We start from the raw sequence: 27064 nt of genomic DNA on the forward strand, positions 1-27064 counted from the left end.
GGGGGAACTGCACTCACAAGTATGGAGAGCCTTAAGCATTCGTTGAGCCAGACTGGACTGGAAACGTCCCGGGAGTCCCTCATTCTCACCCTTCTTCACCTAAGTAAACACACAACAAAATTCTCTGAGCTTTAGGGGGCTGTGGGAATATTTTTCTTTCAACCCCAACCTTCCCCAAGAGCTTTCAAATCACATAAAGTACTGTTTTCCCTTTAGCAATCCAAAACTAGTAACATGCAACTCCAGGCCCCACCCCACCCCACCCCCATCCTCCTCAATGCCAGCCAAGTCAGACACAACTTGCCATGTCCCTGTGGTGTGCCATGAACTGGGCAGGTATGCCCCGGGGTCACTCAGAGCAGCCCACGGGACCCTAGAGCTCTGGCAGTCGTGGAACCCCTTCCATGGCCCTTGTGAGTTACGGGGCCAGGAGTTTGTATCACATCAAAGGGTCATTTCGTCATCTCACAAGGGAGTCAGGAGATACCACCCAGAGAATGTATCAGATTTATACTAAAAAAAAAAAAAATCCAGCAAGATCCATAGCTCTCTGTGGGAGCCATTCCAGTTTCTCCCTGTCACAGTGGCCCTAGAATCAGATACCACGCACTGGAAATAGCAGAGTGCAACCCTGGACGTAGAGGGTGCATTGAGCACGTGCCACTGTGGCTGGGGGGAAACTTCCTTCTCTCTTCCTGCCTGGCCTGAGAGATTGCCTGGACGTGGATCAGGCTTTGTGCTGGTTTAGCACTTAAATCTTAACTGCAACAAAGCCTTGTTCTTACCACCCTGACAGTTTCAGCATTAGGTTTCTTATTAGTTGTTTGGGTTTGGGGTTTTTTTTGTTTTTTTTTTTTCTTCATCTTCTCCCTTTTGACACTTTTCATTTCTGAGAGCCAAACCAAATACGCTAGGCGGACTAGCTAACCTGGCTGTGTCTGCGATTCCCAGAGCCCTGCTGCTGCTCTGATGGGTCCCTTTGGTAAGGAGGGAAATTTTTCTCCATTTTTATAACGACGAGCCCTTAATTTGAACGTCTCTGTTCACTTCAGTTAATAGATTTGTAAGAAATAATGTGAGATATTACCAAATCAGCTTAGACAACCAGATTAAAAATCTGCCTCACTGGGAAATCTGCTTCTTTGTTTAGAATACTCCACACTTTCTCAAGCCTGCATCTGCAAATCTTTGGCCTGATAAAGACTTCCAGAGTCCATCCGTCCATCTCTTGCTTCAGGACTGTACTTCGTCCAAGCATTCCACACAGAAGGGTAACTGGCTTGTTCTTTGAGTGGGATACCACGTCACAGTTCCTTTGGTGTTCCAGGGACATTTCTATACAAGAGATGGTCCCCTGTTTTCTTAGTGTATAGAGGCTCATCAGACCAATGTAAATCTCCTGTTGAGTTTTATTTTTTTAATTCCCATTTTTGTCTTTTATAGTCATGTTTTCTGTTCTCTTGCCAAACTCCCGTGCTATTCAGCTCCCTTCCCAGCTTGTTCAGAAAAGGTATAACACCCACATCAAGATAAAACCTGCTGAGCATGGTGGCACACACCCGTAGTCCCAGCTGCTCAGGAGGCTGAGGCAGGAGGATCGTTTAAGGCCAAGAGTTCAAGACCCACCTGAGCAACACAGCGAGACCCTTTCTCTAAAAAATTAGAGAGGTATAACTTTTCAGGAAAGAGGATAATCTGGAAAGTTGCTGTAGGCACAGACTATCACGTAGAAAAAACTGAAATTATCTCAGCTAGGGAAGAATGCTTTAGGCAGGAAGACAGCCAGAATTTTAGAAGTGTCTAGACATAAGTAAGTTAGAAATTAAGATATGAGTATGTTGGTGACATCTGCGAATACAAAATATAATCATCAGAAAGCAAACATTTGTTCTGGATTTTGTCCAGATAACGGTTTAAAACTGAAGTGTTGTATCTATTGTAGTGCGTGGTTCCAGCTCCTGCTGTACATGAGGAGGTTAATTTGGAGTGACAGGTGTTAGCAACACGTGTTTCTTGGTCCTGTAGATTGCCACTGACCCAATTCATTTGTCCACCTTTGCTGGGGTTACTTGGTCTCTCAGTTGTTGACTTTCACAAAATAATGGTTGACTCTAACCTTGCAAAGAATAATAAACAACTGTGAGTGGTGACAGCTGGAAGAGGTCTGACAGCTAGCAAGACCAGATTCCTTGTAAAGCTTTCCTCTCAGGTAGGGGAGACTTCCTCTTTTTCTCCATGGAGAGCTTGTGCACCTGGATGCAGTAGAGCCTGATCCACTAACCACTGGCCAGGCGTGATAGATACATATTAAGTTTTCCTACAACAGATAGATCTATCAGTCTAACCTGTGTACCTGGCCCTGTACCTCTTGAGACCTCAGCTGTCTTACTTGTAAGGTTAGAGAATGGGACTAGTAGTTCCTGTAGCTCCCTTCCGGGCTGATGAGTCTAAATTTCAGAATTGGCCTGTTTTGGGTGTAGCATTTGTAGGTCTCGTTGTTCCATTGTTGGGTATTTGCCTGAGCTGCAGGTCGGGGATAGGGGACAGGGTAGAAAACTAAATGATAATTTATGTTTTTATATAGATTCACTAGAAATCTTAACTGTTTTATTTCTTTTAGGGCTGGGGGCTGCCAGTGCAGTTGCAGAGTTTTCAGTGCCATAGCTGGGAAGCAGAGAAGCTCTTGATTTGTTTTTGTTTTGTTTTTAACCTTTGAAAATGAATGGCAGAAATATGTGATGACCTAACATTAAAAAATCTAGGCCAAGCACAGTGGCTCCCCACTATAATCCCAGCACTTTGGGAAGCCAAGGTGGGAGGATTGCTTGAGGCCAGGAGTTCAAGACCAGTCTGGGCAACATAGTGAGACCTCCTCTCTACAAAAAAAATTTAAAATTAGTGGGGTGTGCTGGCATTTCGCTGTAGTCCCAGCCACTCGGGAAGCTGAGGTGAGAGAATCACTTCAGCCCAAGAGGTAGAGATTGCAGTGAGCCGTGATCACACCACTGCACTCCAGCCTGGGCAACAGAGTGTAACCCTGTCTCAAAAGAAAAAAAAAAAGAGAAGAGAAAAGGAAGGAAGGGAGAAAGAAAAGGAAAAAAGGAAGGAAGGGAAGGAGGGAGGAAGGAAGATAAATCTAGCTACCCTAAGGCATATGGCTAGCATTCACTCAGTAAATACTTAATGAACACTTATTACATGCCAGGCATAAAGTGTTGTTGATAATACAAGAAAGTAATTACATACTTGAGTTTCCCTCCCATCCAGGGAATCTCATCTTCTATCATGAGGGAAAGAAAGGAGGAAGTCCCTTTATATCACCACTTGAATCTGGAGGAGATGACTGTGAACTATCAAATTGTTAAGCAGTGGAATTTTGACTTTGGATAGACAGACCCGAATGGAGCCAAACTCTTGTTGTTTTTTGTTTGTTTTTCTGAGAAGGAGTCTCACTCTGTTGCCCAGGCTGGAGTGCAGTGGTGCGATCTCAGCTCACTGCAACCTCCGCCTCCTGGGTTCAAGCAGTTCTCCTGCCTCAGCTTCCTGAGTAGCTAGGATTACAGGCACGCACCACCATGCCCAGCTAATTTTTGTATTTTTTTAAGTAGAGACAGGGTTTCACCATGTTGATCAGGCTGGTCTTGAACTCCTGACCTCGTGATCCACCCACCTTGGCCTCCCAAAGTGCTGGGATTACAGGTGTGAGCCACTGCGCCCGGCCCAAACTCTCGTTTTTATTATGCCATTTTGTTCAAAGTTAGTTATGGGAGAGCAGTAACATCTTATTTACTTTTGGTCTAAGCAACAGCCTTTCCTTCCTGTAAAAACAAATTCATACATTGCCTGGCAAGGGAGTTCATCACAAAGTAGGAAGGGGAGCTGGGTGTGATGGTGCGCACCCGTAGTCCCGGCTACTCAGCGGTCTAAGGCAGGAAGATCACTTGAGCCCAGGAGTTCCAGGCTGCAGTGAGCTGTGATCTCGCCACCGCACTCCAGCCTGGGGGACAGAGTGAGACTCTATCTCAAAAAAAAAAAAAAAAAAAAGGACAGGGAGGGAGAAGGAGAAGTCCCCACAGCAGCCTCACAGCCATTACCACTTCCGGCCCACTTGCACAGTCTCTGCAAGTGCAGACTTGAAAGGAAAGAGGACTTTGGAGTTAACTTTAATGAGTGGGAAATAAACATAGGATAAATTCTTCAAGAGCAATTTTAGTTTTCCCTGGTACTAAGTGCTAAAGGGATTCTGTAGAGTCAAGAAGTGACCAGATGCCTGTAGAAAAATAGATCCCTGGGCAAAAAAGATTGAGGTTTAGAGGGATTGTAGAGGGTTAGAGGGATTCCAGATCCCTCTGACTGTGTAAGTTTTATGTCTTATTCAATAGATGCTCTTACGGCAAAATACATTTCCATTTATTCCAGTTGTGTGAAATTCCAAACTAGGAAGTTATTTTATGTCTTCGTATCTCCTAAGAAGCCTGCAGATTCAAGTTAGGGGCTTGTGGGCCAGACCTGGCCAGGACGAGCACCATTTCCACTTGATCTGTCAGCTCCAAAAGGCTCCGAACATCATGCCAGATTACAGCTCAGACCTCATGGCCTGTGACACATCCTGGGACTTAGCTGTTAGAACCTCAAGTTTAGATTCTTGTCTGCTTAAACCAAACTAGGCATTTCTGAATAATTTCCTGCCCTCCACCAAACCATCTGCAGAAAGGAATTAATCTGAGTCACTGCCAACCACAGAGGAATTCATTCACTGACCCCTCTTGTAACCGTCCCTTCTTTATACCCATCAATACATCCTCCCTTTCACCTCATGCTTTGTGACTATGAATAGAGTTGTTTACCTTGAAATCAGGCCAAGTCCACAGAACTTTTAACTGTATTTTCTCTTTTACAAATTTATTTCACGGAGTTCTGGTAGCTCTCTCTAACATCTTTACTAGAGAGAAAATGTTGTTTCTGTTCTAAAATCATGACTTGTGCTGAGCGGTAAATGTTTGGGGCAGTCTCCCTGAATCAAGCAGCCCGCCCCTCAGCTCTGCTTCTCTTTCTCCATTCAGCCCCCTCGCATTCCTTATTCTTTAGACTGTCAGCTTGTTCTCTGGCAGTTATCCTAACACTCAAAGAGGGAAGGGGGCCTGAGTGGTTTTCCCTGTAGCCAGTCGTAACCATGCTTTTGTCTGCCATATGCTTGGAGAGCCTCATCTCTGAAATGTTCCCGCTCTGCTGAGCTTCCTCCGTTCGTTTCTTCCCTGCACAGTGGTAGGGTGAGGCATTCTCCCCTTCCCTCTGCTGCATACGCTTCCAGCCTGTGTTGCTTTGAGCATTCAGATTGAGTTGCTCTTGCATTTGTGATTCTTGGCTCAAGTCCCTCTAGAAATCATATTACTACTCTGAGTTCAGGGAGGGCTGGAACAGCTACTAAGAACAGAATGCATTTTAATAACATTCAACACACAAAAAAGCCAGAGAATTTCTGCCAGAGGCCACCTTCGTATCCTATACTTGTCCCGTATTCCATCCCTTAAGAACTTTAAACACAGTGGAGTGCTACACTGTATGGTTTATGTGCCCTGCTGTCTACCAAAGGGCCTGTATCATCAGATTGTTTTGGTTTGGACATGCTTCAAATTTGAACTTAAATAGCTCTTTAGAACATTATCGAGGCCTTTCCCCAGAATTAATATCTATTCCTTTATTTCATTCACCATTTTCAGATTGTCTGCTACGTGCAGGCCTTTTGTTACGAGGCAATATTGGTATACAAAAAAGAATTCACCAAGGAGCTTGAAGAACAGTTGGGGAATTAAACATAAAACCAACTATTGAAAGGGGACAAAATGAATACTGTAGCAGTTTACACTTCTAACCAGGGATGGCATTACAGAGAAAAGGGGCTCAACCGTGAAGGATAAGAAAGATAGAGAAGAAAGATGTGTAGGAAGTAAGATTGTCCACATTCTAGAATGAGAGGAAAGGAAAAGCAAAGACAGGGAATGGCAGGTATGTACCAGGAGATGAAATTGAAGCAGTAGCTCCCATGCCAAAAAGCTTAGTCTTTTATTTTGTAGGAAGGAAATCATTTAAGATGTTGGAAGAGGAGGAGGGAACTGTTCCAGCCTATTTTAGAAAGATTACTCTTACACCAGGGTTGAAGTAGTTATGAAGCTATTGCAAGATGGTAGAACATGAGAGCTTGAATTAGGATTGTTAACAAGGATATCGGAAATGAAAAAACTAGGCTAGATGTGGTGGCTCACACCTGTAATTTCAACATTATGGGAGGCTGAAGTGGGAGGATTGCTTAAGGCCAGGAGTTGAAGAGCAGCCTGGGCAACATAGTGAGATGTCATCTCTTTAAAAAAAAAAAAAAGGCTGGGCAAGGTGACTCATGCCTGTAATCCCAGCACTTTGGGAGGCCGAGGTGGGTGGATCACACGGTCAGGAGATCGAGACCATCCTGGCTAACACAGTGAAACCCCGTCTCTACTAAAAATATTTTAAAAATTAGCCTGGGGCCACCTGTGGTCCCAGCTACTCAGGAGGCTGAGGCAGGAGAATGGCATGAACCCGGGAGGCAGAGATTGCAATGAGCTGAGATCACGCCACTACACTCCAGCCAGGGCGACGGAGCAAGACTCCATCTCAAAAAAAAAAAAAAACTTAGCCAGGCGTGGTGGCACTCTCCTGTAGCCCTAGCTACTCGGGAAGCTGATGCAGGAGGATCACTTGAGGCCAGGAGTTAGAGGTTACAGTGAGCTATGATCACTCCACTGAACTCCAGCCTGGGCAACAGAGCAAGACTCTTTCTCTTCAAAAGAAAAAAAAGAAAGAAAAAACTAAATTAGAAGAAACATGATCTGGAAAGAGCATTAATAGGAAACTCACAGAAGAAGTGGCCAATAAATATATATTTTTTAATGTTTTACCCCAGTTTTTGGCTTCACTACAGATGGGAAGAACTACGAATGAAAACAGTGCTGTCATACTGGGAAGGTTGGGATTGGTTGGTTTGTTGGAGTCCCCAGTATGTTCAGAGAGTGGGAAAATGGCACCCTTATTTCTTGCTTATGGGCTGAATATCAGTACAGCTATTCTAGAATGGTCTGGTTACTTGTCAAAAGCTTTACACAGGTCTATACCCTTTGACTCGGGAATTTTAAGTAGAAAATCATAGACATGCAAAGATTTATGTATGGGAAAATGTAATACATTAATATTTATAGTAATGAAAACGAGAACAAACTAAATGTCTATTGGAGTTAAATAAATTACAATATATTAATAAAATGGATTACAATGCAGCCCATTATAAATTATTTTAGAAGAATATTTTATCACATGAAAAGCTGTTTAATTATTGGGTGAAAAGAACAATTCAGTAAATAGTATGAACAGTATGATTTGATGTGTAAAGGGAACATTCACCAAGAGATGTTTATCAGGCACTGGAAAGATGTGAGTCTGAAACTCAGTAGAAAAAGAAGCTAGAGTTATAATTGTGTAGATCCACCTTCATAATGGTTATGTTTAGATGAGGGACATAGAAGAGTTATTATGCTAGTTATTATACATGTGATATTTTCTGTGATTAAAAAAAAATTTAAAGAACACCTACCTCAAAAGAAATAAATTTGAAAGAAAGTGGATTAAATGTGTTAATCACTAAAGCACTTAGAATAATACTTGGCCCATAATAAATGCCCAGTAAGTTAGTTGCTGTTATTATCACCCTCCCCCCTTTTAAAGCTAAAGGTAAACACATTTCGCTAAGCAGAGGATCTAAGAGAGAACAGTGGACAGTCTCCTTAGACCTCAGGAAACCCCTGCACGTGTGAGACTGAGCAGAAAGAAGAACAACACCAGGACAGGGAAGAAATGTTGGGGCAGGCAGAGGAGAGCCAGAAACATGTGGGTGTTGGGGGCCTCTAGGGCAGACAGCCTAGCAGGTGTTTTCAGGGTCAGATTGGATCGTACAGTTAGATAATCCTTGGGGGTCCTTGATGGGTTTTTTTCTGAAGTTTTGAAATTATAACTTGCATACAGAAAAGTAAACAAATCCTATGTATATAGCTGAATTACACACTCATATAGCAAATTCTTGGAACAAGCAGCAGAATGTTACCAGTGCCGAAGCCCCTTGTCATCCTCCTTCCAGTCACTCCTCATCCTCCAAGGATAACCTGACCTCAAACACCACAGATTAGTTCTGCCTGTTTTTAAACTTTCTATGCCTGGAATCATACCATACTCTATTGTGTCTGGATTCTGTCATTCAACATCATGTTTACGAATTGTATCTGTTTTGTTATACATATAGTTCATTCATTCTCATTGCTCTATGATATTCCATTGTATGAATGTGCCACAAATTGTTTATCGTCTGTTTATCATTCAGTATGGACATTTGGGTTGTTCCCAGGTTTTAATACTCTTATCAGTGTCTTCAGGTGAATTTACATGTACCTACAAGTCCACTTGTTCAGCTTGGCATTCAACTTTAGTAGATACTGCCAGATGTTTTTCTAAAGTGGTTATGGCCATTTACACTCCCACCGGGAGTGTAGGAGAGGCCAAGTGGTTCCACGTCCTTGTCAGCACTTGATACTGTCTGTCTTTTTAAATTTTAGCCATTCTGGTGGTCATTTAGTGGTATCTCCTTGTGATTTTAACTTGTATTTTCCTGATGACTAATGAGTTATCCACCTTTTTATATGTCTGTTAACCATTTCAGTATACTCTTGTGGTCATTCAAGTGTCTTGCCTATTTTTCATTATTAACTGTTGTTACTGCTTTATAGGAGTTCTTTATATATTATGGATATGCATACATCAGATATGTATCTTCTCCTGTGGACTGCCCTTTCACTCTCTTAATGGTGTCTTTTAAGAGACAGAAATCCGGCCGGGCGCGGTGGCTCACGCCTGTAATCCCAGCACTTTGGGAGGCCGAGGCGGGTGGATCACGAGGTCAGGAGATCGAGACCATCCTGGCTAACACGGTGAAACCCCGTCTCTACTAAAAATACAAAAAACTAGCCGGGCGTGGTGGCGAGCGCCTGTAGTCCCAGCTACTTGGCTGAGGCAGGAGGATGGTGTGAACCCGGGATGTGGAGCTTGCAGTGAGCCAAGATCGCACCACTGCACTCCAGCCTGAGCGACAGAGTGAGACTCTGTCTCAATAAAAAAAAGAGAGAGAGAGAGAGAGACAGAAATCCTTAATTTTAATGTAGATCCAGTTTATCAATTTTTTCTCTTTGTGATTATTGCTTTTTGTGTTCTGTTTAAGAAATCTTTACATTCCCTAAAGATGGTCTCTTACATTTTCTTGTAAATGCTTTATTGTTTTACCCTTCACATTTATATATGTATTCATCATGAATTGATTTTTGTTAATGGCATGAGGTAGAAATCCAAATGTGTTTTGCATATAGCCCCACCATTTATCAGAAAGACCATCTTTTCCCAGTGCACAGTCAAGTGGCCATATACGTGTAGGGTTTTTCCGTGTTCTCTTTTCGTCCCATTGGTCTGTGTGTCTGCTCTCGTGCCAGTGCTATGTGTGTGCATTGCTGCCGCCTTGCAGTGACAGCCTTCTTCCAGAGAGGAGCATTTGTATAGCTTTGTTCTTGGTGGCCGTCTTGGCTGTTCTGGGCTCTCTGCATTTCCACTTACTCTTTGGAATCAGCTCGTCTATTCACATACACACCTGCCAGTTTTGATATGGCTTGCATCGACTGTATAGATTAGTTGAGGCAGAATTCACACCTTTACAGAAATGAGGCTTCCAATCCTTAATCATGTTTATTCCTCCATTTAAGACATTTTAACTTCTCCAAATATTTTATGGTTTCAATATAGAGGCTTCTGTAATCTTTCGAGAGGGCAATTTCAGTGAAATAGCAGAAACTAAATTCTCAGTTATTAAGGAGAGAACTCAGAAATGCAGGTAACACATGTAGACTATTCTTTTGAGAAATTTGGTTACAGGAAGAGAAAAGTTGCTACTAGCTTGTGAGATGCAGATTCCAAAAGTCTTTTCAGGACGGGCAGGATTCAGTGCCCTCAGAAGCCATAGTGAAAAACCAAGGGAGGGGTTGGAAACAGAGTTCACTGAAGGGACAGAGACATGGAGAGTTAGCTCAGGAGTGTGGGTGCTCCTGAGGCGTGTGGAACCCTGCTCGCCTGGAGAAGCCAGGTGGGGTCACTCTGAGGCAGGACGGATCCAGACTCCCCGGGTGCCCACGTAGTCAACAGCACGGAGCTGTCGTGAGCCGTGCCCTTTGCACTGAGAGCAGCAGCAAGCCCTGCTGCCCTCACGCCTGTCCTCATCCACACCTCTAAGCCCCTGGAATACAGCACATGTTATTTTAACAAAGCATGTTCCATTTTCTCTACCGAAGGTGTATACTTGTACATGTGTCATTCCAACAGTCCTTTCCTCCAGAGTATCTTGGTTAAAGTAAGGTTTGGTGGAAAGGGGCTTTTTTTTTTTTTTTAAATAAAATCTTGCAGTGCCCAGGAGGCTTGAGGAATATTTTGTAGTAGAAATACTATATATGGAGGAAACTAAGGTGCTGAGATATGAGACTTCGTGCTTAAGTTATAGAAAGGGCTGGCAGAATTCATGGGAGCAAACTTGTTTTGCAGTTTAGTGAAAATCGGTTTACTCTGGAAGTGTTTTTCGATGTTTTGTTATTGTTTGTTTTTAGATACAAGGTTTTCAGCACACGCACAGAAGATGGCATCTGCACATCTAGGGAGCTGATTGGGTAAACTTCAGTGCTGCCCGTAATTATGGTGTTTCTAAGAAAGTAACCAAGAAGCCAGTATTTTTCACTGTAATAGTTGCAGTGGTGGGATTACTTGCCAGTATTAGAAAATGGAGAATGGGAAATGGAAAATCTCATTGGATTACTCCTCCTTACATTACTGCGTTTGGATTTGTAGTCTTAACAAGGCAATAAATGGAAGGGGAAAGAAGGAATCAATTCATGGTAACTAGAATGTAATGAGCACTTTCATTAAGTCACAATTTAATTTGTATTCTTTCGGAAATTCTTTTCTGGTTTTAAGCCTAAAGGGGCCTGCCTTGAGGAGGTGAGGAAGATAAGCAGGTGTGGGAGGGGGTGTGGGTAGTGGGCAGGGGGTTGAAGAGAGCAAGAATATCTCGAGTAATACCTTTTAGGGGAAGTTTCAGACACTAAAATACATCTTTCCCAACTTATCCACAGAATCCGTTGCATCCCAAAGCCATGGAAAAACTGCCTTTTTTCATGTGATGCTCATGGTAAGGAAATGCAGACGCCCCCAGACGTCCCCCTTACTCTGGGCAGTCTGTTGCAAGCTCCCCAGTGGATGCTGAAACTGTGGATGGTACTGAAGCCTATAGATGCTGTTTTCTTCTATACATATATACCTGAGATAAAGTCTAGTTTATAAATTAGGCACAGTAAGAGATTAATAATAAAATAGGACAGTTATAACAATACTCGGAACAGCATGCACTGTAAAACTTATGAATTGTTTATTTCTGGAATTTTCCATTTAATATTTCCAGATCGCAGTTGACTGAGGGTAATTGAAACCGTGGAAAGGGAAACCATGGACAAGGGGGCGCCGCCGTATTTTAGTATAAGGAGGTTGTGAATAATCCATTTCAGGTTGTGCTTTCGCACCTGTGCTGTATAACACATTGATCTAAGTTTTTAGTTTGCTTTCTTCACATCGCCTCTCTTTCCTAAGCAATCTAAAAGTTTTAACAACACATGCCTGTACTCCTTTGACTTCAGAATGACTAAAGCTTTACAATCAAAGTCAACAAAATAAAAGTCGCATTTTAAAAGTAATCACGGTTACACAAGAGAAGTTGATCCTTGAGATTCTTTCAAGCCAAGAAAAAATAGAATGGATCAAGCGCCAATGAAATCTGTCCCTGCTCAGCTGTGCCCACATGTAATACTGCTTTCAGATAAAATTTGAACCATGCCTAATCCCTGGAGAACAGAGAAAGGCCTCCCAGATGGAAAGCAACTCCAGCTAGTGAAGGAACACTTCCTTCTCTAAACTTTTCGATTCTGTGATTCCCTCTATTTTTAAACACCTTTTCCCAGGCATAGCATACGTTAGACCCTGGAAAAGCGTAGCCTTGTAGTCTGCCTCTGGTTTTTTTTTCTCCTTAATCTTATTCCACCATTTCTTGTTATACTTCCTCCTCCAGCGCTAAATCACTGTCCCCCTTCTTGTTTACACCCTCCTGGCATGTGTAGGTAATAATCACATTTCCCTGCCCTTTGTTTTTACTTAGTTCGGGTCTCCATGTTTAGGTTTTCTAATCCTGCCCATAAAATGATTCTTTCAGCTTCTTAGTCATGCTGCCATTTTTCTTTGAACTTACTCCAGTTTGTCTCAATTTTTCTGGTAATGAGGTGTCTGAAACGGAACACAGTGCCCTTAGGTGTGGCCTCGCTGAAACTGTGTAATGGAATGGCGGTCTGCTGAGGAGTGATGCCCATGTCTGGCCAGCCCGGGGGCCTTTGTCTCTCTTGAAGAGCTGGAATCGCTTCCATCAAGATCCGGCGATTCCTGTGCTCCAGAATTGCAGTGAGCAGCCCAGTGCCTTTCCTCCTTTGTGCCTCACCTCATACTGTGTTTCCATTTGAACTGACCATTTTCTGTCCCCTGCTGTCAAGAAAATACCCACCCCCCCAACCCTGCCTTCCTTTCTGTCCAGACTACTGAAGGCAGTAGCATTTTATCTCTACCTATTTGTGGCAGTTACTACACAGTGTTTTGCATAGAGCACTCAGTCAATTTTTTAAAGAGTTTTTTTGTTTGTGTTTTTTTTGTTTGTTTGAGATGGAGTTTCGCTCTTGTCTCCCAGGCTGGAGTGCACTGGCGCGATCTCGGCTCACTGCAACACCCACCTCTTGGGTCCAAGTGATTCTCCTGCCTCAGCCTCCTGAGTAGCTGGGATTACAGGCACCTGCCACCACGCCCGGCTAATTTTTTTGTATTTTTGATAGACGGGGTTTCACCATGTTGGGTAGGCTGGTCTCGAACTCCTGATCTCAAGTGATCCACCTGCCTCGGCCTCCCAAAGTTCTGGGATTACAGGCGTGAGCCACTGCACCTGGCCAATTTTTTTATAGTTTTACTGAGATATAATTTACATACATACAACTCACCCATTGCAAGTACATAATTCAGTAGATTTAGTGTGTTCTCAGAGTTGTGCAGCCATCACCATAGTCAATTTTTGAACATTTTTGTCACCCCAAAGGGAAGCCCCCACCTATTAGCAGTCACTGCCAATCACCCCATCCTACCCCAGCCCCAAGCAGCTGCCACTCTTACTTCCCAACTCTGGATTTGGCTACTCTGGAATTTCATCAAGAATGGAATCAGGCTGGGCATGGTGGCTCACGCCTGTAATCCCAGCACTTTGGGAGACCAAGGTGGGCAGATCGCTTGAGCCCAGGAGTTCGAGACCAGCCTGGGCAACATGGCAAAACCCCATCTCTACAAAAAAATACAAAAATTAGCCAGGTGTAGTGGCATGTGCATATAGTCCCAGCTACTTGGGAGGCTAAGGCAGGAGGATCACTTGAGTCTGGGAGGTGGAGGTTGCAGTGAGCTGAGATCCTGACACTGCACTCCAGCCTGAGCAACAGAATGAGACCCTGTCTCAAAAATAAAAAAAGAATAGAATCATACAAGACGTGGTCTGTTGAGACCGGCTTCTTTCATTTAATGTAATGTTTTTATATACTTTACATAGTGTAGCTTTACATAATGTCACGTGTCAGAACTTCGTTCCTTTTTATTGGCCAGTTGGTTAATACTTTTTGAGTGGATATTTTATACACTTCAATTTTTCCCTTCTTAAGGTCGTAGAGTATCAGAATTATGCCTTTAAAAGTATATACAGTTTTAAAAGGTATTTATGTTATATATTTTGGTATATTTCTTATTGCAAAATTGATGTTGCTTGTGCTATAAACAGTACAGAAGTATGTAAAGTAAAAGTAAAATCAAAACTCCTTCCAGCCACTGAGAGCTTTTTTTTTTTTTTTTTTTTTTTTTTTTTTTTTTTTTTGGAGACAGAGTCTTGCTCTGTCACCCAGGCTGGAGTGCAGTGGCGCGATCTCGCCTTACTGCAACCTCCGCCTCTGGGGTTCAAGCTTTTCTTGTGCCTTAGCCTCCCGAGTACCTGGGAACTACAGGCACTCACCACCACATGTGACCGATTTTTTTTGTATGTTTAGTAGAGACGGGGTTTCACCATTTTGGCCAGGCTGGCCTCAAACTCCTGACCTCACGTGATCCACCTGCCTCGGCCTCCCTGAGTGCTGGGATTATAGGCGTGAGCCGCTGCGCCCAGCTTCAATGAGGTCTTTAAAAAATCTTTGTTCCAGCCGGGCGTGGTGGCTCACGCCTGTAATCCCAGCACTTTGGGAGGCTGAGGCGGGCGGATCACGAGGTCAGGAGATCAAGACCTTCCTGGCTAACATGGTGAAACCCCATCTCTACTAAAAATACAAAAAATTAGCCGAGCGTGGTAGCGGGCACCTGTAGTCCCAGCTACTCGGGAGGCTGAGGCAGGAGGATGGTGTGAACCTGGGATGTGGAGCTTGCAGTGAGCCGAGATCGCACCACTGCACTCCAGCCTGGTGACAGAGCGAGACTCCGTCTCAAAAAAAAAAAAAATTCTTTGTTCCTACAAATTGCCTTAGTAAACATACTTGTACATACGTTCTTAAATTTCTTACTGGTGTTTCTGTTGAACATACTCTAAAAGTAGAATTATTTGGTCAAAGGACATATACAATTAAATTTGGCTGATGAGACCAAATTGCTCACCTCCCTACAATTGTCCCACAGGTCGTTGCTCTGCTGTTCCCACTTCCCATGCCCTAGCCAACTCTGTAGTTTATATTTCTTGTTCGTTTGTTTGTTTTGAGTTTTTCTTTTCCTTTTTTTTTTTTTTGAGATGGAGTCTTGCTCTCGCCCAGGCTGGAGTGCAGTGGCGTGATCTCGGCTCACTGTAAGCTCCGCCTCCCGGGCTCAAGCAATTCTCCTGCCTCAGCCTCCTGAGTAGCTGGGACTACAGGTGCACGCCACCATGCCCGGCTAATTTTTTGTATTTTTTTTAGTAGAGATGGGGTTTCACCATGCTAGTCAGGCTGGTCTCGAACTCTTGACCTCGTGATGCGCCTGCCACCTCAGCCTCCCAAAGTGCTGGGATTACAGGCGTGAGCCACCGTGCTGGGTCTTGTTTTTCTTTTTTTGAGACAGGGTCTCGCTGTGTTGCGCAGGCTAGAGTGCAGCAATACAATCACATAGCTCATTGCAGCCTCAACCTCCTGGGCTCAAGAGTTCCTCCCACCTTAGCTTCCAGAGCGGCTAGAACTAGAGGCACGCACAACCACACCTGACTAATTTTTTTGTTTTAGTTTTTTGTAGAGATGGGGTCTCGCTGTGTTGCGCAGGCTGGTCTTGAACTCCTAGGCTCAAGTGATCTGCCTGCCTCAGCCTCCCAAAGTGCTGGGATTACAGGTGTGAGTCCCCAAACCTGGTCAAGTTTATATTTCTTTTTTTTTTTTTTTTTTTTTGAGACAGAGTCTCGCTCTGTCACCCAGGCTGGAGTGCAGTGGCGTGATCTTAGCCCACTGCAACCTCCACCTCCTGGATTCAAGCAATTCTTCTGCCTCAGCCACCCAAGTAGCTGGGATTATAGGCGCCCGCCACCACGCCTGGCTAGTTTTTGTATTTTTAGTAGAGACAGAGTTTCACCACATTGGCCAGGCTGGTCTTGAACTCCTGACCTTGTGATCTGCCCACCTTGGCCTCCTAAAGTGCTGGGATTACAGGCGTGAGCCACTGCATCTGGCCATATTTAATTATTAATGAAATTGGGTATTATTTTTGTGTTTGTTAGCCATTTGTATTTCTTCTGTGAGTTTTTTGTTCATATTCTCTGCCTGTTTTTCTATTAGGTTATAGGTTTTTAGGCTTATGGTACCACTTCATAATACAGTAATGTCAATCCTTTGTCTTTTTGTTTTGTGTTTATTATGTCTTTCAAGCCGTCATTTGTACTTCAATTAAATGTATAGCTCTTCTGTCTCTATACAGACATTTTAAATTTCTAAATAGCCCAACTTACCCTTTTATTCCTTTATGACTTCTGAATTTAAAAGCACTTACCCTCCTCTCCAAAATAAAGCTAAAAATACTTTTCTGTCTCCCATCCCAAGATTATAAAAAATATGCTCTTAAATTTACTTTCAGTGTTTTCACAGCATAGGTTTTAAATATACATCTTTAACCAGTTTGGAATTTATGTTGCTGTATGGTATAAGCAAGAATACAACCATAAATGGGCCTAGTTGACCCCGTACAGTTCATTGACTTCATATGCTTCCTGGTCATATCCTAAATCCCAGTCATTTAATGGTATCAACCCAACACTCTTCTAATTATTGTACTTTTATGGCATGTTTTGTTTGGTAAAGCAAGTCTTAACATCACTCTTCTTTCTTTAAAATATTTTCTTGACTCTTCTCTATATTTATACTTCAGTATAAATGTTAGACTCCATTATCAAATTCCAAAAAGAACCTTTAGGATTTGTTTGGAAATGTGTTATACACACAAATACACACATACATAAAGCCTCAAGTAATGCATGATAAAATATATAGCAGTGGTTATCTCTAGATGATGGTAATATTCTAGGTGATTTTTTTCTTGTTTTTTTTTCTTTATTTTCGAAAGTTTTTACAATATTTGTGAAGCACTTTTTACTTTATTTTATTTTATTTTATTTTTGAGATAAGAGTCTTGCTCTGTCACCCAGGCTGGAGTACAGTGGCACGATCTCGGCTCACTGCAACCTCCGCCTCCCAGTTTCATGCAGTTCTCATGCCTCAGCCTCCCGAGTAGCTGGGACTACAGGCACGTGCCAGCATGCCCAGCTATTTTTTGTATTTTTAGTAGAGACGGGGTTTTGCCGTGTTGGCCAGGCTGGTTTTGAACTCCTGGCCTCAAGGGATCCGCCCACCTCGGCCTCCCAAAGTGCTGGGTTTACAGGCGTGAGCCACCGCACCCGGCTGTGAAATCACTCCCGGCTGTGAAGCACTTTTTAAATTGCGGAAAACTCCTGAAAAAAATGTTCTTAAACTAAATTATATCCTTCAGTAACTTCATGATTATCTACTTAACATAACAGAAGCCCAATTAGAATAAAGACTATTTCATGGGAAATAAATAAGTGACTTGTAGAGACTGAAGAAGAGTTACCTGGCTCAGAATATAAACTAGAATTGTCTGGAATATTCCTGGGAAGGATCCAGCTGGAATCAAGATACTGAAGCAACACCACCCCATAACCTTTTCTGTAGCTTGGTTGATGTCAGTTCTGCTGAGACTTTAGGGTCTGTAGCCTTTTCACTTAGCAGCATTCCTGGGTTGTTTTCTCTGCAGCTGTATTTACAAGGTACCCAGCCTCCTAGCTTTCCCCGTTGAAGAGATTCTTACTCATGTGACACAGCCAGAGTTTGGGGTGCACCAAGGCCGCGTGGTCTAAATCGGGCCCCTCAGTGTCCTGGTCTTTTAGTCAGCATTTAGCAGAAGGAAGATTGCTAGGTCTATTCTTAACTCTTTGATATATTTAAGAAGCACTGTGCTCATTCTTGACTCAGAGCATCTAGATTCTTTCTTTTCTTTTTCTTGCCCTGTCTTATGGTGCCAAGCATCTAGATTTTTTTTTTTTTTTTTTTTTTTTTTTTGCCTGTTTTAAGATGGAATCTCAGCTGGGTGTGGTGGCTCACACCTGTAATCTCAACATTTTAGGAGGCCGAGGCAGGAGGATCCCTTGAGGCCAGGAGTTCAAGACCAGCCTGGGCAACATAGTTAGACCGCACCTCTAAAAAAGAAAAAGAAAAGAGAAATACAAAAATTAGCCAGGCATGGTGGTACACATCTGTAATCCCAGCTACTTAAGAGGCTGCAGCAGGAAGATCACATGAGGTCAGGAGGTCGAGGCCACAGTGAGCCTGATCAAACCATTGCACTCCCCCCAGACAATAGAGGGAGACCCTGTCTCAAATTAATAGAAAGAGAGAGAGAGGAGAAGGGTAGGAGGCAAGGAGGGAGGGAGGGAGGGAGGAAGGAAGAAAAGAAGGAAAGAAAAGAAACGAGAGAGAGAGAGAGAAAGAAAAGAAAAGAAAGGAAAGAGAGAAAAAGGCCAGGCGCGGTGACTCAGGCCTGTAATCCCAACACTTTGGGAGGCCGAGGCGGGCGGATCACAAGGTCAGGAGATCTAGACCATTCTGGCTAACACGGTGAAGCCCTGTCTCTACTAAAAATATAAAAAATTAGCTGGGCGTGGTAGCAGGCGCCTGTAGTCCCAGGTACTCGGAAGGCTGAGGCAGGAGAATGGCACGAACCTGGGAGGCGGAGGTTGCAGTGAGCTGAGATCGCGCCACTGCACTCCAGCCTGGGTGACAGAGCGAGACTCACGTCTCAGAAAAAAAAAAAAAAAAAAAAAAGATAGATGGGGTCTCACTACCTTGCCCAGGCTGGACTCAAACTCCTGGGCTCAAGCGATTCCCCCACCCTCAGCCTCCCAAGTAGCTGGGATTACAGGCATGCACCACTGTACGCAGCTCCCTTTTTGCTTTTTAATCTGTATGCTCTTGCTGGGTGATCTTACCCATTTAGTAACAGTTAGAACACCTAATATTTGTCAAGCACTTTATATGACTATCTCATTAAATCCTTAAAACAGCCCTATAAGGTAGGGCACAGGAGCTCACGACTGTAAGCACTTTGGGAGGCCGAGGCAGAGGCGGGATTACTTGAGCCTGGGCGTTCAAGACAAGCGTAGGCAATATAGACTCCCATCTCTCCAAAAAATTAAAATTTAAAACATTGGCCTGACATGGTTATTATTGCCTCATTTTACAGATGAGGAAACTGAGACTCAGACAAGTCAAGGTCAGATGAACTGATCGGCAGAACTGACCTTGAAACCCAGGCAGCCTAACTCCAGAGCCTATGTTCTTAACTAGACTTTATATTCCATTTTTAATTTTCCTCCTTTCTTTCCTAAAACCTGCTGTCTCCTTCGTTCTTGGTCTTATTTGTCCAATATCCCCAGCTAGAATTGTCAGAAATGATTCTCCAGTTCTCCCTCACTTGACACCTCCTCCTTTTAGTCCTGCCTTTTGAAGAGGCTCAGACCTGTGTGTTCCTTTCCACGTCCCTGGCCCTCCCTTGCATCAGCCTTGCCTAACCCCCACCTGGGCTGCGAGCAGGAGCTGCCCTTGGTGGACTCTTCCTTCTGCTCAGTCTGAGAAAGTGGCGATGCTCATGTCACTGTACCATTTAAAACTGCGTGGACTCCTTTTTTGTGGTTGTGGTTTGGTTTCTAGGCAGATCACGCTGGAACGTCCTCACTTCACGTGCTCAGTCTGGCCCTCGCGTGTGTTTTCAGCTCCATTTCCTGTCATTCTCCACCCACTCCCTGTGCCTTACATTCCTGCCATCCTGAGGCTTCCCTTTTCGCAAGATCTGGGCCAGGCCTGTCCCAGCCCCACGCATCAGCCTTTGTTCTTCTGCGCTAAGCCTCCTTTGTCTTTGGTCTCCCAGACGGACTCTAGTCAGCTCTGAAGATCCAGACCCCACGCCTCTTTAGTAGCATTTCCTCAGACTCCTCAGGGTGAGCAGACACTCTTAGGGCTGCCACAGCACATGCTCAAGCCTCAGCTGCGGCCTCACTCTGCTGGGTGGTCGTTTATCTGTTTACATGCTTGTCTCCATTAACCTAAATGTGTCTTCAGGACAAGGACCAAATCCCATCAGCTTTCACCACCCAGCACAGAGTAGCGCTCAATAAAGGTTGGTTAAAATGCTTGAAGGAATGTGAAAGAGGCTGTTAAAAACAACAGGAAGTTAGAAATATACTTACTTCTAAGCAAAGGGATTATCTTGTGTTTCTCAAAGTAATCTCTTCAGCTAAATTAGCAGGCCTCAGGTGGGTAGGCTAATGTACCGGATGAAAGCGATACACGGCAAATGGAGAAGTCCTTTAAATTCTAAGTTCCCTTAGGGCGAGGGTCGCTCCACAAGGTTAGGATCCTCTCTGAGATCACCATGCCCCTCTCTCCTGCTCTCATGCACGTTCATGAGCCTGTGACTTGGTGGAGAGAACATTCTGTTTACAGTGAGAGGCCAGGACTGAAGTCACAGCTCTGCAAAAATGATCAGCTTTCGGCCTAGAACCAGTGACTAACTTTTTGGGCCTCACTTTCATGAAGACGCATTTGATATTTGCTTTTACACTTTTCTTATGGTTAATTTTGATGCAGAGAGACTTCACATACAGAGTGCCTTTGTCATTTATTGATGAAAAATAATTCTTAGCTCAGTGCAAATGGGATTGTTGTATCTGAAATCCATCTCTCCTTTCCCTTTCAGCTTCAGGATGAGTTAGAGAAAGGTGAACGGGACAATGCAGAACTGCAGGAGTTTGCCAACGCCATTCTTCAGCAGATAGCAGACCATTGTCCCGACATCCTAGAGCAAGTGGTCAACGCCCTGGAAGAGTCCTCTTGACCCTGCTTTATGGGGAAGCCTGAGGTAGTCAACCCAGGAGCCAAGAAAAGAGAACTACGAGGAACAGGTGCCCGGAACCTTCTTGGCACCAAACACTACAAACTTCATCCCAACTTGCTCACTTGAAGAAGTGTGATTCCAGCACCGTTTCTACATCTGCCATCTTACTCTGCCTTTCTGCTTTGGATGTGGTCTCTACACTAACCTTCTTGATGTCCAGGGTAGATAAAGGGTCGAATCTCTCTGAAGAACTGCCACCTGGTCATCAGCAGTGGAGAACTGTGGGAGCTGGTGGCTCTGCCCTGACAGAGAGCCATGGAGCAGAGGAGCCTCTCACCTCCTGTCCTCTGACATGAGAATGAAACCAGGAATGGACTTGGAGTTCAACAGGCTGAGAGGATGCCTCCAATGGACCAGAGAGCTGAGTGTTCTAATATCACAATAGGTGCTTTCTCCTAAAAGGGCAAAAAACAATCTCAAAAAGATTAGAAAAAGAGAAGGGGGGAAGGGAAGAGAAAATCGACTCTTCTTTTTACTGTCTCTTCTGCTTACTTTCCACATGAGATGCTTTGTACCGGGGAGCTGTGAGCAGGCCTCACGATGGCTTGGGAGCACTCGTTCTCCCAAGGTCTGAGTCTTCATCCAGCCCTGCCTGTCTGTCGCAGCCTTCCTCACTCTGTTCCTCGGCCAGTTAACAAGAAGATGGTGTGAGGTGTTCTCCACCAGTCTCTCCTGTTTGAGACTGTTGACGTTATCATACTGAGGTGTTAGATCAAATATCTCTAATTGAAGAACATGTGAGGTTGAAAGAGCACCAGCCAGGGCAACATAGCGTGACCCTGTCTCTACAAAAAATTAAAAAGAGAACATACAAAGTTGACATATGAGACCCTGTTGTCCCCGCCTGCAGCTTTGCCCCAGTAACAGATGCCCGTTGCTCTTGGGCTGGTTTCCCCTGAACACCTCCAAGAGGCTGCCTGCCTTGCCAGCACCCGTGTCCTGAGCTCCTGCAGCCCAGTGGCTGCTGAAGTTGTGATCCCTCACTCACCCTGCTAGCTTTGCCCTTGACTCGTCTTCTCTGAACCTCAGCCTCGTGCATTGCCTGGAACCTTCTTCTAGCATAAATGAAGGTTTTTCCTCCTACACACATTCCTTCCTCGGTTATTTCATTCAGAGAATATTTATGAAATGCCTACTGTGTGCAAGTCATCCATCCTTGAAAAGGCCACTTCTCAGTGAGGGAGAGATGTAGTGGATTCTGTGAGACATACCTGCTGGAGTTGAAGCAGTAAATAGCATGTCCTTCCCCTCCCCGATCTTAAGGTGTGTTTTCTAGAAAAGTTCCCTAATGGAATTCATGAGTTTGGGGGTCTCAGTCACCCGCTTGCCTGTAGGATTCCATTTGATGATTCTGGATTTTTGCTGTTTGTTATTGCCCTTAGAGGGGCTCTGAGTATCTACTTGTGGGTGGCCATTTCCTGACATCTGCATGTACCTCGTGGAATTCAGCCAGCTTCATGTTGCAAATCAGAAAGCTGACCCCAAGACTGCAAATCAATGAAGGTATTGGCATTGTTAAGGACGTAGCGTAGACAACAGCAGTCATAAATAATTAGGCAGGAACTTAACCCAAATCTAGTTCTTTGACCACCTCTACCACCAGAACCCAGCAGACACTCACATCTCCTGATAAGAGTTGCTGGACTCGATGTTTTTGTTTTGCATTTTCTCCTCTCCTTCCCCACTTACTCAGAGAATTTAAAGTCTGTAGAGTCAGCACAGCCCCATCAGTCCAGGAACTTCCCACCACCAGCCCTTGACTGTCCCATTAACTGACATGGTCAGATTTCCAGCTCCCCCTACTCCCTGCTGTGAAACAATCCCTCTCCCTGTGAGAGGAAACTGTGGAGCGTTTCTTATCGAAGGTTAAATGGACTCTGCTCATAAACCTCTTACTGAGATGCTTCCTGATAGCCAGGCTGGCCAGAGAGGGGTGCAGGGGTTAGATAGTAAGTGGTGGTCGTTTGTGGTCAGTTACCTCAATTCTGTTCATTGCAGTGCCCGTAAACCATGTAGAAAGCTCCCAGCACTGAAAGGCAGGAGTGTTAGCATCTCGCTTTATCCACCATAACGTAAAGAACTGCGGTGTGATAACAGCCTTCACGGGGCCACGGTGGAACCAAGACAGCAGGCGAGGCCATGCCTAAACAAGTGGTCTGGCACGGGCACTGGCCAGCTGCTCTCTCCAAGCAGGTGGCCCAGATCCCACCCACGTGGACTTTCTCATCAGGTGCAGCGCCTGCCACTCTCAGCCACTGGGTGTGTCACTCTCCTCTTCATCTCAGCATTCTCCATCACTTCCCCTCCAGAAAAACGGATGGAAGGAAGCCCTCTGTGACACTGCTTCTGAGAAGAAGCATTTCCGGGACCGATATCATCTGTCTGGTCTCTGTGAACAGCAAGGAATCTTCTTGACCGTTCTTGGGCACTGGAGGCTGGCTAGGAGTTCAGTAATAAACGTGGCCTTCGTGCTGTAGGGCAGAGTGGATGCAGTTTGTAGCTTTCAGAGTGTCTCATTGAGTCTAGATCATTGAACCAACACTTAACCAAATGTCCCACTCCCATCACACTAGGACTTGTCATTCCATGCCCCTCTCCTAGTGGTCATGGTTTCATATGGGCATACAACTGCTACTGAAGTTATATAGCCTTGAAAACTCAGTGCAGGTTGCCCTTAATTTTCCCCAAACCCCTCCATCGGCAAGTCTAGTTGCCCTTTAGCACCTAAAGATCTGCACCCCAAACCAATGTCACCATAAAGAGGGCACGAAGAAGAGTGGGTGTGATCCCAACGGGGTTTTGTAACTGAAGAAGCCCAGTGTGAGCTTCTCATCTTTTCATATACCTCTAACCCCCGGTACTCATTGAATCATTGATGAGGTATCTCAATTGAGATTTGCAAGGACTTTGATACCATTTGAAATGGAAAAATTTTGAACGGGCTTTAACATGTTTAAGAAATATGGATGGGGCCGGCCACAGTGGCTCACGCCTGTAATCCCAGAACTCTGGAAGGCTGAGGCAGGCGGATCACCTGAGATCAGGAGTTCGAGGCCAGCCTGGCCAAGATGGCAAAAACCCCGACTCTACTAAAAATACAAAATTAGCCAGGCGTGGTGGCGTACGCCTGTAATCCCAGCTACTCAGGAGGCAGGAGAATCGCTTGAGCCTGGGAGGCAGAGGCTGCGGTGAGCCGAGATCGTGTCACTGCACTCCAGCCTGGGTGACAGAGACTCCATTTAAAAAAAAAAAAAAAAAATATATATATATATATATATATATATATATGGATGGGAATCACCAAATTCATCTCAGCTCTAACCTTTTAACCTTTGTCCTTGCACTTTACAATCTAAAGATCTACCTGTGGCTCTCAGACTTCCTCACACTTGGGTTTTAGAAATAACTTGTAAAGCAGACTGGACCCAAGGCCGCCTTCAGTGTCAAGAAGGGCATTGTGACTTGCCCCTCAATTTCTGTCCATTGAAGTCTGGTTTTCCATGAGGAACTTGCGGGCTCACCCACCCCCAGAGTGAGAGAAGAGGAAGGCGAAGTCATCACAGACACGGTCTTAGCCACCTGCTGAACTAATCCCTCCGCTATTGAGGGTCAGGGTTGTGAGGCAACCATCATGTGTCACCCCAAAATATAAATGTTTCTGAGCCGCCCATCCACTGGCATTTGGATTTGCTGCCAGAGTCCTGTTCCTCCCAGAACCATCCCGCCCTCCTGTTGACCATGTTACTTGAGTGTAGGCCCGGTGTCAAGACCCTCAGAGTCTTTGAGGAAAGAGCCAAGCAGAGAAGACCGCTGCGTGGAGTGTGACACCACATGGCATTTCTCAAGCCCAGCGGACCCTGTGTCAGCAAATACCAGTAATTTAACATCTGCTCCTGGCCTCCTCTTCACCTGCCTGGGTTCGGAACTGAGGAGGAAGGATGAGAAGAGACTGCAATGCAGCAGGCACCCTCTGCAGAGTGAGGCCGCCCGTCCATCACTGCCAGCCCTGGGCTGCTCAGGAGGGGACGTGAACCACTCAAAGGAATGTCTTAAAGAGGATCTGGAGTTTCCCCCATGCAAATTAGGGAAGAATTAGGCAAGAAAAGACATACATTACAGGGAAATCCTTCTGAACAAAATGGCTGTCTTCACCTACTCTTCTTGCAAGAAAAGACATACATTACAGGGAAATCCTTCTGAACAAAATGGCTATCTTCACCTACTCTTCAGCAAAAACCGTCTCCAGACTTTTTAGTGTCAAAAATGTAACCAACTGTCTCCTGATTTTTTCCAATGTGTTTGGCAAGTGCTGTGGCCCTGTTGTAGGTACTTCTCCTGACTCTTGGGGGAGAAGTGGTTTTAGGGATTGATTTGGGGGAGCGGGTTTTTGTCCCATCCCACCTCCTCTCTTCTTTCTCTGCTTGTCGATATTGTCTGTGTGATTCAGAGAATTGGGGCAGTTACATTGTGTCTGTTGTTGAGATTATTAAAAGATTAAAACGTAGTTGTAGAAATGAAAAATTAAACAGCTGTGTTTTAAAAATGCAAACCAATATCTTGTTAATAAAGGAATTCAAGCTATGGGGCAGCCACACTCCCCTCCTCCCAGGCTGGCATAGGTGGCCCTGGGCTGGCGGCTTAGGAAGCATGGAGCACACTTAGGGTAGTGCCTGCCTGGGCAAGAGACACCTGCCGAGCAAAAGGAACGAGAATCTGGGGCTCAGAGCCTCGCAGTTGTGCCAGGATTTTCCTATACATGTTCAGGACCTCTGGGTAGAGGTTTCACAGTTTGTGACCCCATAACCACCCTCACCCGACGTGGGTTCTAGCTCAGTGTGCCTAATACTGCATGGTAACCTGGGCTTGACCCTGAAGCCCCTGCCTGGCAGGCCACAGGACCTCTCCTGCCCACTTGGTGCTATCTCTTCCAGTGACCACCCAGCACGGGTGAGCACTGGCCAGCCTGGAGCCTGCAATCCAGGTGGAACAGACTGTCCTCCATGTCAGTTCCTTCTGGCTTCAGGCCCTCAATTATTTCCCTTTGAGCTTTTTTAGACCCTAGATCTCCTAGGCCCAGGCTCTCTCTTGACCCCAGAGAAGCCACTGTCAGGAAAGGAAGTGAACCCTACTGAAGCCAGAGAATTCACCCCGGCCAAAGCAGGCCCTCTGGGTCCAGCCCCTCATTCCACACCACGCCAGTATTGCATCCATCTACTGCAGCTACACATCCTGAGGGCAGCACCACCCACTCTGGCCTGCTGGCCCATCGCAGGACTAGCCCAGGCACCTGCCGGGCATTGCAGGATATCCAGTGGGGCCTGTGACTGCTCCCTGATGCGTCAGAAGAGAAGTGTTGCACTTTAGTGGAGGAGCTGAGGAGCACCTGCCCCCTTGTAGCTTGAGTTCCTTTTGGTAACAGTAGCAGCCTCCATGGTGGTGTCTGGGATGCACGTGCACCCGCTGCCTTCAGCTGTATGTGTGTGTTCCTGCTGGAGTTGTGTTACTGACAGGATAATGACATTACAAAGAAATTGTGTTATATTCAACTTTGCCTTGATAATTATTGTAAACACTTTGTTCATTTTTTCTTTTTTATTCACAAACTAAATCCACCAGGAAATTATAAAGTTATTTAAAAACCGTGCTGTGTCCTTCTTTGAGTGTCACCCAGCTGATCATCCAGGCAAGGTGTGTCCCCAAATGCTAGAAAAGATGGACAAGGTCTGCAGTGCCCAAGAGGCCAACTCCAATGGCAGGCAGCCCGAGGGCCAGGGGTCCCAGGATTTACGGTGGGTGTGGGAGTCATCACAGCCCTGACGGGCATGAGCCTCCTTTCCCTTCCCGCCTGATCTCCGGGTTTGCAGCTTTTAAAGTCAATTCCCGGTTCCCTTTTTCCTTCTTTCTACCCTCAGCCCCGGGCCAGGTTATCCGTATCAGGTCTCACTGTTCCAGAGCTTAGAGTAGGTGCCCAGCGCTGAGGGATGGTGCTGCTGTTGTACCAAGGTAGAAGAGCCAGAAGGGCGGCCACCAAGGGAGGGCTTTGCCCAGGACTGGGACTCAAGCTTCAGCAGGGCGCGTTCTGATGCACTGACTCTGGGGCGTGCAGGCTGGGTCAACAGAAAGTGTGTGTGCCAAGAGTAAAAGGAGCCGAGAAACCCTGTGCTTGGACGCGGCTGTCATTTCCAGCTTTGGGATTTGTCTTGGGCTTTATGCTCAATAAGAAATTATTCTGGAGGATTTCTTTTATGAGAATTACTTTTCTGCTTAGCCACACTTCTGTGTCTGCCCGAGAGAGGAATCAAGCCAGCTTGCTGCATTCCTTCCCTCTCCCGTGTAAATTCTGCCACACGCTGGGTGTTGGCTCTTGGGAATTGTAGCA

General features: G+C 45.1%; 1 protein-coding gene across 47 annotated transcripts in view, besides 2 other annotated features; it reads left to right on the forward strand.

Moving 5' to 3' along the window:
- The window catches only part of ERC1 (ELKS/RAB6-interacting/CAST family member 1), a 505975-nt gene extending 479647 nt beyond the window's left edge, over positions 1–26328 (forward strand). For 46 of the 47 annotated variants that reach the window (NR_027948.3, NR_027946.3, NR_027949.3 and 43 more), the window contains one exon: positions 20488–26326. Coding sequence is in view for 44 of the 47 variants with exons in the window: in XM_047428566.1 (XP_047284522.1) it covers positions 20488–20625 (138 nt within the window). In the remaining 3 variants the exon portion in view is untranslated. Of the gene's footprint in view, positions 1–11237; positions 11294–20487 lie in introns of all 47 variants that reach the window. The other variant, NM_001301248.1, reaches the window with a different exon arrangement.
- Positions 3837–3906: an enhancer, noted in NCBI's record as "active region_5797". NCBI's record gives its function as "activates an Ori minimal core promoter by ATAC-STARR-seq in GM12878 lymphoblastoid cells {active_cell/tissue: GM12878}" and the evidence as "EXISTENCE:reporter gene assay evidence [ECO:0000049][PMID:35858748]".
- Positions 19155–20354: an enhancer, noted in NCBI's record as "BRD4-independent group 4 enhancer chr12:1597926-1599125 (GRCh37/hg19 assembly coordinates)". NCBI's record gives its function as "activates an origin of replication core promoter dependent on BRD2, P300/CBP, MED14 and CDK7 cofactors, and independent of BRD4, by STARR-seq in HCT116 cells {active_cell/tissue: HCT116}" and the evidence as "EXISTENCE:reporter gene assay evidence [ECO:0000049][PMID:35650434]".
- Positions 26329–27064: the final 736 nt, after the last annotated feature.

The sequence above is a fragment of the Homo sapiens genome, chromosome 12 (assembly GCF_000001405.40).
Source record: "Homo sapiens chromosome 12, GRCh38.p14 Primary Assembly".
Lineage (NCBI taxonomy): Eukaryota > Metazoa > Chordata > Mammalia > Primates > Hominidae > Homo > Homo sapiens.